Source organism: Homo sapiens, chromosome 13 (genome assembly GCF_000001405.40).
Source record: "Homo sapiens chromosome 13, GRCh38.p14 Primary Assembly".
NCBI lineage: Eukaryota > Metazoa > Chordata > Mammalia > Primates > Hominidae > Homo > Homo sapiens.
The window spans coordinates 40,078,257-40,090,656 of NC_000013.11; the positions used below are offsets into that span (position 1 = coordinate 40,078,257).

Genomic DNA, 12,400 nt, shown 5'->3' on the forward strand with positions numbered 1-12,400 from the left:
AAACTTATTCCTGTGCCTCACCACGGTGCCTCCCCCCAGGGACACACACACACAAACACTGGAAACACACACAGCATTTTGTTTCCTTGAAACCAGGGAGACTTAACCAGGACTCTTAGCCTGCTGATTTTTGTGTGTCAAGAATCAAGCATTACATTTCCTCCTATTAAATGTAACATTTTTGTATTTGTCCATCATGCCAGTACTTCACAATTTCAGATTTCATTAAGTCTCTCTTCACAACTTTAGGCAACGTGTTCCCTGTATCTTTCAAGCTAGTGACCATGTGAAGAAAGAAAAGGAGGGTTGGTACGGCCAGGTCTTCACAAACCCATGAGAGTTCCTTATTCTATCCTAGTCTCTTCTAAAAAATTACAGGTCATCTCTTTAATCATCTAAACCAGAATTTTGAAAACTAAGACATTTTCTCATTTCTAGTCCTCTGCACCTTTTCCATTCTCCATGATTCTCTGGACACTTGGATATTGTCCCAACATATTACATTATTTCTTCCCTCCTCACGTTGGCTTAATCCTTTCTAGTCTGATCTGAAAATCGTTTCTCTTTGTTGTTGTTGAAGAAAATTGAATTTACAAAGGATTATGGAAATTTTTTCTGCTGTGTTAGAGGCAACATTATCCCTACTCAGCCCAAGCATGAGATTACCTCCTTCATGTTCTGGACTAAAATATTTTGTCCAGATCTCAGTTTCTTTCTCAAATTGTGGAAAGCTAGGATAATCTCTACCCTGAGTCTATCATTTTGAAATATCAAAGCATAATTTCTCACTCATTTCTTTTCAAATTCATTTAGTCTGGCTATACACACATAAAAGACAACAAGCATATTAACAGCAGTGAATATTTATTTTTTATTTGCCATATACAAGACACTAGATTAAATACTTCCATCATCTCATGTAATCCCCACAATAGCATTATGAATTTCTGTGTATTAATGTAATAATAATTTATTTATAATGTATTAACTATCCACATTTTTCAGACAAAGAGCTACAACTTAGAGAGATGACGTGGCTTGCAAAGTGATATTCAGGTATCAGACGTTAGAGCAGAGATTTGAGTCTAGTCATGGTTTCCCTCCCCATTTACATCTATGTCAATGAAAGCAGCTAGAACTGATGCTAACTCTCTTAGCCACTGTGCTCATGAAAAGCTAGCTCTTGTCACTATCATTATCATTGTTATTAATCCCATTAAGGTCTCAATGCTAGTCAGTGGTCAGGACGAAACTTAAACCTTGGATGATCTGATGCCTCTCAACATGGATACCAATAAACCCAAAGCCAACAATCTGGTAAATCAGCCATTGATAGACATAAATCCTCAAATTATTCATGGACTTTATTCAAAGTTGTGTTTGTAAGTTAGTCATTTAGAACCCCAAACACATTTCCTCATTGAAATAATGTTTTACATAAGAGCAGCCCATACAAATAAAGCTGAAATATTCTCCATGTACAATTAAAACAGGAGAACCCATGACTATTATAAATGCATAGTGCTGTGTTTTAGCCATACATTCTCTAGTCTTGGCTGTTCCTGAAAATTTGTCTGAAGGTAATGATTGCCCTATCAGCATTGAAACTCATTCATGTTGAGGTCTACATGAGAAAGGTCAAATGATTCTCTAGTGTAGTCATCTTTATGAGCTCCCACCCTCATGCAAGGGCTTGATACCAGGCAGGCAGTAAATGTTTCCTGGCTGAATGAAAACATGCAGTGGGGAGGGGGTAGAGAACACAGGAACCCAAAGGTGATAAGGCAGAATAGTGGGAGAGGTTCACTGAGACCCTTACAAGTATAGCTGTAACTCCATCGTAACTTCTGTTTTTGATGGATACAAGTAGAAAGCAAGGAGAATTGGTGCTAAGCCTGAAATCTGCAGTGGGGGTTCATAATTACCCTTGAAGTCCTGTGCACAGTTGGGATTCCAATGTAACTATTTTAACTAAGAAACATGCATTCCCTCCACAAACCAAGTTAGCCTAAAAGAGAGTTCATTCAAGTTGAATGACCCTGAAGAAGCTTGTTAGTAAACAGTTCACCCACGGGCTCTATATTCTCCCTTAGCTGTTATTAAGCTGAACAGCTTATCTTTAATTTAAAGAAGCATCCACCCAGTATACACAGGTGACTTACACTGGGAATTGCCAGAAGCCATGGAAACATTAACCACCTAGATAACGTTAGGCCCACTAAATTGATGGTTACCATCATGTGCTTATGTTCTTCTCCAGGGGCTCAGAGAAATAGACTTCATTTTAATTGCTACTCAAAAAATGTCCTTGGTGAAAATAATAACAGCATCTTGCTACCACTAGCCCACATTTAAATGACAGGGCCAGGTCTGACTGATGGCTGCCTCAGGGAATATTCCCTCTGCTCTTCTCAGGGGTCCCTTAAGTCTTTCAGTCTCTCATTGTTCATCTGGAACTAAACCTAAATACATCTCTTAAAACCAAATGTCTAAGAAAAATGTATGTACATACAAAACACTTTCACAAATGTTTATAGCTGTATTTATAATCACCAAAAAATGGAAACAAATTCAATCTCATTTGACTGTTGAATGGTTACCCAAACTGTGGTACATCCATGCAAGGGAATATTACTCCGCAATAAAAAGGAACAAACCATTGTAACAGGTAACAACGTGGGTGAATCTCAAATGCATTATGCAGAGTGAAAGAAATCAGACTTAAAAGGCTACATACTAAATGATTACATTTGCAGAACATTCTGGAAAAGGCAAAACTATAGGGACAGAAAATCCATCAGTGGTTGCCAGGGTCTGGAGAAAGAAGAGTCTGACAACAAAAGGGCACAAGGTAATTTTGGGTGGCAAATGACTGTTCCATATGTTGATCATGGGGGTGGTCACATATGAATATGTGTTTCTCAAAAATCCTAGACCTGTACACTAAAAAGAGCAAATTTTAGCACACTTAAGTTATACCTCAAGAAACTGATTAAACATAATAATGAGATAAATTTCTTTTTGTAAAAAGAAGAAAAAATACAAATGGCTAAGTGAGATTATACTATTCTTGGCAGAGCGCAGTGGCTCACGCCTGTAATCCCAGCACTTTGGGAGGCTGAGGAGGGCGAATCACGATGTCAGGAGATCAAGACGATCCTGACTAACACGGTGAAACCCCGTCTCTACTAAAAATACAAAAAAATTAGCCAGGCGTGGTGGCAGGCACCTGTAGTCCCAGCTACTCGGGAGGCTGAGGCAGGAGAATGGCGCTAACCCAGGAGGCGGAGCTTGCAGTGAGCCAAGATTGCGCCACTGCACTCCAACCTGGGCAACAGAGCAAGACTCCGTCTCAAAAAAAAAAAAAGATAAATTTCTTTTTGTAAAAAGAAGAAAAAATGCAAATGGCTAAGTGAGATTATACTATTCTTAACCCCTAAAAGTGTTCAGGTAGGTGTTTTTAGTTGAGAATGATTAAGTTGATAGCTAAGTGTGGGTTAGGATTGGGCAACATCTGCCCAGCAGGGCCAGCTGATTGTTGTTCTGAGAGACCACAGAGACCCTCGTGGGAACAGCATTTCTAACTTGATTTCTAGAATTTGTTGATGGCATAGTTTGGGATGGCAAAGGATGGGTAGGGTAAAAGCCAGAATTGGTGCTTATGGGCACAAGTCCCTAGTGGTTCTCCTCCAGGGCAAAGGGCAGATGTCTGAATGACCTGTGGCCAGAAATATGAGGTGATGCACACGCAGTTTCCAAGTGCTCCACACAGCATCATGCTGAATGCTCCTAAGAACTTTTCACGCCAGGAGCCACCATTCCTGTTGTGTAGGTGACTGAACTGAGGTGGAGGGGAGGTGACTTAGCCAGATCACAGTGAGGAAATGGACTGGAGGCTGGGCCACAGGGCTCCTGAGTTCACGCTTGTTTGCTTGTTTGTTTGTTGATGCTGGTGGTGGTGATGGTGGTGGTGTTCAAATGACATCAAAGCTCTTCATCCTTGATGTGAGTCCATCATCAAAATTTTGAAAAACACCAGACAGAAAAAGATTTTCTCTCCCTGCAAACATAAACACAGGAGTGATTTATAAAAAAATAAAATAAAAGACAAAACAAAGGTCAGAATTTTGTCCAGAATAGTCAGGCTATGGTGACATGAAACCAAGCAGCTGACTTACTAATACAATGGTGTATTTCAGAGGAGCATTTGGGTATGTTGACTACACAACTGAAAACACCTGGATATTTTGTTTTGAGATTAACTGCATGATATCGTCCATGTTGGTCAGGTATCCAGGAATGATTGATTGACACCCTCCCAAGTGAAGACACGGGGCAGTTGAGCACTCCCTGGGCAATTCAGCATCTCACAGAGTTCTGTTGTTATATCTGAAATCACTAGACTCTCCCACACAAAAGAATGGGCAATAAATCAAACCTTTCATACGTCTTCCTGGTACTGAAAAGCCCACTGCTATACTGCACAAGAAACATAGATTGTGGAATGTTTTTCGGTTGGCATAGGAACAGCCTTGGAAATGTTCAGACCAGAAGGGTCAGAATGTTAGGAAGTTTGCAGCAGGAAAAATTCCTGCTGTGACCATGATAAGTTAAATATCCTGACTAGACTCTCTCTTCTCTTTCTGGCACATGGCCTAGCCGAAAGAGCGCCTCGTGTGGTTCTGTAATAGTCACACAAAACAAAATGGACCGCATCCTCCCAAGGCACCCTTGCCCGCAGACCTTTCGAGGCCCTGAAGTGCCTGTATGGGAAACTGAGGCCCAGAAATATGGAGTGCAGGGTTAGTGAGCCTAGAGAGAACATGGAAGTGGGGATGGGACAAGTGCTGTGTGTGCACCATGACATATCACACTGAGTTCCCCTTCTCAGGCCCTGTGTCCGAAAGAGAGCAAGGAGTTTAGAGCTGGCTGAATCCCAACTTGCTGCTACTCCCTGCACTCTGATGATGACAGTGACCCTACCCTGGCACAAACCTCAAGTTTCCTTAGAACCCACTGGCAAGTGGCTCACCTCTTTAGGATGAAGTGAAGAGTATTTCAAATGTCTCTCTTCTCTTTCTCCCTGGAGGTCTGGGAGGGCGTAGGTGGGAAGGTAGGGGAGAGATGGGATAGAGAGGGGCACCAGTGAGGCAGCACAACAGTGGATGAAAGAGAATAAGCAAAAGCCCTCAAGCCCCAGTGTCTTAGAGGACTCTAAACACAGTAATTATACATGTCCATGCCACCTGCAGTCAACCTTTCACAATCTCCTGAACCTCTCTTGGAGCAAACACAGCTTGTGAAAATCTGGATGTTCATGGAAGAGAAATTATGGACTTATATTCCACTAGCAACGATGATACTTTGAAAGTACTCATAAATACCTTCATTAAATGGTCAGCTTTTTTTGTAGTACACTTTAAATATGACTTGATTTCTAAAAATGTGATTTTCCCATAGCTCTTTGAGACCACACCTATTGCATAAACTGAGTCATGCCTGCAATAAAGTCAAGGTTTCCAGAGAAGGACATTCTCCATTTCTTCCACCATTTACCCTAATACTTGGGATTAATGCAGAAGCAGTGAACACGAGAGCTAGGCTGAGCAGAGCAAAGACCTCTGCCTCAAGCCACAGTGGAACCGTTTTGAGCATTATTCTTTGCCAGATTTACAGGGTGACAATAAAGCTTTCTCTGGGCCAGAGTTGTCCTGTGCTAGCATAGAAGGCAGCCTCCCAAGTTACATGGAAAAGGGGGAGAGAGGAAAGAGAAAGTGAAATGGATGAGCTTCCTGATGACTTTATTTTCCATGGTTCTGGGTTTTATGGGGCCAAAGGGAATGGAGTGCATAAGCTATGAGTGAAATGAAGCAATCCAATTGCCTTTCTGACTATATGTTTTTAATCCTGTCTCTCAAGTAGCAGCCAGTTTAACCTTTGAGCATGCCTGTGCCCAATCTGAGTGTTACACTAAGAATCACTTGACTTGGCCCAAAGCTATTTACCGCATTAAAATCACAGTGAATTCTGTAGAAATGATCAGCCAGGAATGGGCTTAGAATCATGGAAACTGCTTCAAGCATAACAGCCACTCATTCAATCAACCAGTGTTTATTGAGCACCTACTGGGTGACATTTTCTACATCAGGCAGCAAGGAACCCACTATGAATATATCCTGGATCTTGGCCTTAAAGAGTCTACAATCAAGTCAGAAGACACATACATACCCACATGGCCCAGAGCTATGTGAGTAAGACTTAAAACGGGGGAATAAAGCAACATGAAGGTAAGGGCGGTCCCAGTGACCTGTAAGTGGGAGTTGCTCTGGTCAGGGGAGGATATCCCCAGAGGATGGTGCTTGATAGAGTGCTGATAATGAGCAGAAAGCGATGCGGTGCCCTCACCATCCTGATTCAGCCACTCCAATGACTCCAGAACCAGGAGTCCCTTCTTCAGGACATTTTTGCCTCGAGGAATTCTCAACCCAAAAAGCAATGGATTTTCTATCAGGAAGGCTGCCAACTTAATTTTTTCCATGAAAATATATACACTCACACACATGCATGCACTTGCCCTTCTCGGTCTTGTCAGATTGATGGCAATTATTTCTTTTGTTCTATCTTCCCAGGTCAGGGAGGCATTCAGATCTAAATTCCAAAGGTGAATAGAGAGCAAATGTACCTCATTTTTGTGATTTCAAGCACTCTTGGGAAAGATTTAGGGTAGTAAATGAATAACAATTAACAATATTTTCCCATCTGATTGGCAGATCATATGGTGTTTGCTCTTTAGAATTAATTTAGCTTTCTAGTAAGGTTATCTTGCACACTTTCCAGGGTCCCCTGATATAAATAGACTAAGGAGTAAGAAGGAAATCAAAACAAGTGTGCATTTGTCTGGAACACAGTGACAACTATTTGGAGTGGAGAAAGTAAATACAAGAAAACAACAATTAGTAGAAAGCTTTAGGACCGAGCTAGTGCCTACAGTATCTTCATCAGATCAACAGGTTAGTCACAAAGGACTATGCTAGAAATTCAGCTCCAAGCCGAGCAGAAGCTATATGTTACAGTGAAAAGATGGGGTTGTCTCTCCTAATTTATTTTAAAAATCAGTTGAAGTTTAGCAAATTTTTTTTTGTAAAGAAATAAAAAAGAAATGTCCTTACTGTTAGTAAATAATGAAAAATGGGTCCAGCTGCAGTCACCTAGAGCAAGTACTTGTCAATGGCAAGCTGGGGGGAAAAATGAGCATTTATCAGCCTGAATACCTTAGTTTTCTCCTTTGGGAGGGGGGCAGAGGTATGGAAAGAAATCCTGTGGCGATCTTTACCTTCATTTTATCTGTAAATCTGAATGAACAATATGCCCTTCATGATTCTATTAACTAAAGAAGAGATGCGTGAACAGAGCCCCTGTTTGCCCAAAACTCCCCCAGTTTTATAGCACTGGGAGTCCCAGGGGCAATCTCTTGGTCCTGGGCAAACCAGGATGGTTGATCACCCTGGGAGAGAAAGAATTCCCAAATCCATTCCCACCAAAGAAATTCTGAAATAAAAAGGGCTTTTTGTCTAGCTCAAAGCACCCTTCCTACCCACCCACTGACTCGGTGGTTCTGGCTCCTTCCTGAATACATGGTGAGTGGACTGTGCTGGGAAGGTAAACAAAAGGAGAAATCCCTTCTTTTCTCTTCATAAGTTCTCTGATTGGTGCCTCTTTCCCATGGCCAACTCAGGTACTGACAGCAGATGAAGTTCTTGGTAAATGAGAATCTCATCCACCTACAAACAGTAAGCTGTACATTCCGAAGAGGCTGTAAGATGTTTCTCCCTAAATCAGTGGTGTCAGCACCACCCACTTGTTAGACATGCAAATCATCAGGCCTTACCTCAGACCTACTGCACCAGGAGCCCTGGGGTGGGAGCCCAGCAAGCTGTGTTTTAATAAATCCCCCAGGTGATTCTGAGGCATGCTCCAGTTTGAGAACTGCTACTCTAGAGACGGATTTTGAAAGATCAGCTATCATAGGTATGCCTGATGTGCCTATTACAGGTACAAAGAATACACTCAGAATTTAGTATGTGAGCTTAAAGAATTTTTTTTTTTTTTTTTTTTTTTTTTTTTTTTTTTTTGAGGCGGAGTTTCGCTCTGTCGCCCAGGCTGGAGTGCAGTGGCGCGATCTCGACTCACTGCAAGCTCCGCCTCCCGGGTTCACGCCATTCTCCTGCCTCAGCCTCCCGTGTAGCTGGGACTACAGGCGCGCGCCACCATGCCCGGCTAATTTTTGTATTTTTAGTAGAGACGGGGTTTCACCGTGTTAGCCAGGATGGTCTCGATCTCCTGACCTCGTGATCCGCCCGTCTCGGCCTCCCAAAGTGCTGGGATTACAGGCGTGAGCCACCACGCCCGGCCGAGCTTAAAGAATTTTTATTGCAGTCCAAACAATGGCTAAACATAATTTTCTTGCCTGATTTATACCCCATGAAGTAGCTAGCCTGTTTCACCATTAGGTTACACTCAGGTCCAGAATGACTATGTTTTCTCATTCTCCAAATCTCCAGAAAAAAAAAAAAGCTTAGAGGACAACTACAATCTGGATGGGGGTAAGCAATAGAACAATCACCATTTTAATTGGAAAGGATCTCCAGCAAACATTCATCTGTGGCACAACCATGCGCTGGGGTCAGAAATTGTCACCCCTGAGAATAAAAGCATCAGTAGATTCTGAAGAATGTGGTTAGATGTCACCTTCTCTCCTCCTCTCCTCCTTTCCGCACTGTCACCCTCACCACACCTATCTTTTCCTCCCCCTGGAAAAAAAAAAAAAAGCAGAAATTGGATCCTAGAAAAGTGCAGGCGCCTCTCCAATGCTGGCCCTGTCAGGGAAGTGACACCTCTCCGTTAGGCCTGTTGGTCTCTGCCCTCCTGGACAAGCCCACTTCAAAGTTGCCCAGCAGCCTAGCTTCCTGGCCTTTAGAAATGGTGATGGATTCATTTAGAATCAGGGGCTACCGAGCTGGGAGCTGAGGTGCTGCCGAAATGGCAGGTGGTTGGCGGTGGCTTGACAGCAATTAAATGTACAAATCTTTGATTAGGCTCCCGGGAATGGAGTCATTAGCAACCCTGAACAGACCAGCTTGCTTTCCACCGCCTCATTAACTGCTCCGCTAATGTTACTTTAAAAAGCCGAGGGGATGAGGGGAAAAAGAACACCTATCCAACACAGAATGAGTGACAAAGCAGAAAGGGAGGGGAAGAGGCCGGGGTAAGCATTTCTAACTGAACAAACAGGTCCCTGCTTTTTTCATGCTGTGGTCGCTGACATGAGTGTGCATGTGCACATTTGCTGGACTGTGAAATAGCCCCATACCTGTCTGATTCATCTGCCAAGAAGGGCTTTTTTTCTTCTTTTTTCTAATCTGCCTTTTCAAAATCCCGGTTGATTCACTCTTCCAGCCAAAGCCTCCGTTTTGGCTCAAAGTCCACATCTATCAGATCTAGAGTGGGGCTACTGCACAGCTGTCTACACCTTTCCAAAGAGTGGTCTGTCTGGAGTCTGCATTCCACCCTTTGGGAGCCACAGAAGCTGTGTTAATACTCCACCTCTGTTGCGTGATCCTGGCTCCCACTGTGATGTTCATCTATCTCCCAGGGATGGCATCCCCAATTGATGTCTACCTGGCAGGTTTCCTCCGTATTATTAGAGAGCTAAGGTCTGGCTAAGCACAGCCATGCATGTTGAAACATCTTCCCAACAGGGAGCTTTAAAACAAGAGGGAAATGTGTCTCACAACCTTAATGTAAAATCCTGTGTGATCATTTATTTGATTAAACTGAATTCATTGCACAATTTATTATTTTTATTTTTCTCAACCTGCCAGTCACTGGATTAATATTTATAAAGTATGCGCCACACATACTTATTGATCATCTGTTATAAACGTCATTAATTTGTTGTGGAAAATCTACAGGTGAAGGACGGTCTCTATCTTTGAGTTTAGAATCTATTAGAAAGAAGCATCCTATGCATCTTCCCTCGTTTTTTTATTTATTTATTCAACAAACATTTGTCATGCGCCTGCTTAGTTTAAGCATTGTTCTTGTCAATAAAAATATGAAGGACAACATAGTATAATAATTATAATTGCATACTATCTGATAAGCATTTTATATGCATTAATTAATTTAATTATCGCAGCAACTCTGAAAGGTAGTATTTTTATCTCCGTTTTAAAGATAAGGGAACTGAAGCACGGAGAGGTTAAGTAACTTGCCCACGGTCACACTATTGGTAAATAGCAGAGCTGAGATTTAAGCCTAGGCAGTCTGGCCGCTTAACAACTATGCTGTGCTCCTTTGAGGTGCTTTTAGCTTAACGGGGAAGACAAACATTAAAACCAACCATTTCAATACAACGTGATTAGCACATCTGGGTAAAGTATATAAAAAATACATGATAGGGAGAAAAGGGAATTATTAACTGTCCATGGAAAACAATTCATAGTTGAAATGATACTTGATCTGGGGTTTGAATCAAGAAGAAAACAAAGCCATAGCCTTCAAGAAATTTTAATCTAATAAACTAGTTCACTAAATGTCCTTGCCACTGTTACGACATAAGTTTCGAAACAAATATATCAAATAAATGGAAAATTCTGAAAAGGAAAATATCACATCCAAGTTTGAGGGTATTGGCAGGAAAGACTTTAACCAAGGAGGTGATATCTAAGGAAGCCTGTAGGGGCTGGTCGAAGTCAAGGATGGAGCCTTGGTAAAAGCAGAGAAGATGGGAGAAGAGAAAAAAAAAAGGATTGGAGGAGGGAGAACAGAGAGAACAAAGATAAAGGTGTTTTCAAGAAGGTGAGCATAAGGACATATGTTGGAAGAATGGTCTGAGCTGAAATATGAAGGACATTGAATGAGAGATTTTATCTAATTCTAGAAATGTATTGACGGTTTTAGGAGTAGGAGAGTGAAATAAAAATGACTTAGGAATACCAAAGAAAGCAATAGAGAAATACAATCAAATAAATATAATGAAAAAGTACATTTTCAAGCCAAGAAATATAAGGGGCTATTGTTACTCAGAATAACAACCTACTACAAAGAGTTTTTACGAAGCTCAAATACGGTAACAGGAGGCATTTCTTTGCAAACCATAATGTGCCGCACAAATGCCATTATTACTTTCAACAATATGTTTATGTGACCTTTATAATTCATTTGTCTTTTGTACAAAGTTAGGAGGCTCCATAAGTTATCTGCATGTCTCCAAGGGCCATTAAAATGGGACAGGCCATCTCAAAGAAGCTTTTTATTTTGCAGTTGACAATAACGAGAGGCCTTTCTAAACTATGTACCAGAGGAATCAGAATGTGCATTCTCAGAGCTCCTTGGCCTCCTGAGGAGGAGGCACTTCTAGAGGGGTGGGGGTTCTTCCTCTATGGCCACTACTGAGGGGGTGGGTCCCTAACAAGGGAGAGGAAGTAATTATTGCTCTTGTGCCACCACCAGCAACAACAACCAAAAAAGATGGTTCTGCTGATTAAACTAAGGTAGCAGGACAAACTTATTTACTAAATTTTTAACATTTTCATCCAGCCAATTGATTTCTATTAAGTCACTGCCTGTTTCTTTTAAAAATAAACTCTTGGTCTTTTGTTCCACTCTTATTTTGTTCCACCTATATGTTCCAGATGCTTGTTAAGTGACTTCCAGGTCTTCCGTCATTTCTTTTTTTTTTTTTTTTTTTTTGAGATGGAGTCTCACTCTGTTGCCCAGGCTGGAGTTCAGTGGCACGATGTCGGCTCACTGCAACCTCCACCTCCCGCGTTCAAGCAATTCTCCTGCCTCTGCCTCCTGAGTAGCTGGGAATACAGGCACCCGCCACCACGCCCAGCTAATTTTTGTACTTTTAGTAGAGACAGGGTTTCACCATATTGCCCAGATTGGCCTCAAACTCCTGACCTCAGGTGAACCACCCATCTCAGCCTCCCAAAGTGCTGGGATTATAGGTGTGAGCCACCACACCCAGCTCCTTCTGTCACTTCTATCTAGAGTTGAATGCCCTGCCCTCAGCATTTCTGCACAACGATCCCTCTTCCCTTGCTAACACTACATGAAGTCCACGCTAGCCCCCAGGTCACAGGGAAATACCTGATTGCTATGGGAGCTCATCCAGTGAAGTCAGGAACTTCCAAATCTTTAAGCTGATTGATAACCCCAGGACAAGGAGAAAGAGACTTTTATTTTTTACTTTTTTTTTTAGTGGCAGAATTTTCCTGTCACTGAGGCTGCAGTGCAGTGGTACAGTCATAGCTCGCTGCAGCCTTAAATTCCTGGGCCCAAGTGATCCTCCCACCTCAGCCTCCTGAGTAGCTGGGACCACAGGTGCAGCCCC

The 12,400-nt window shown here is 42.1% G+C and overlaps 1 protein-coding gene across 1 annotated transcript in view; it reads right to left on the minus strand.

Moving 5' to 3' along the window:
* Positions 1–847: 847 nt before the first annotated feature.
* Positions 848–12,400, minus strand: part of LOC124903162 (uncharacterized) — a 138,590-nt gene continuing 127,037 nt past the window's right edge. Inside the window, exon 5 of the mRNA XM_047430821.1 lies at positions 848–4,060. Coding sequence (XP_047286777.1) covers positions 3,995–4,060 — 66 coding nt within the window. The 3' untranslated portion in view covers positions 848–3,994. The remainder of the gene's footprint in view (positions 4,061–12,400) is intronic.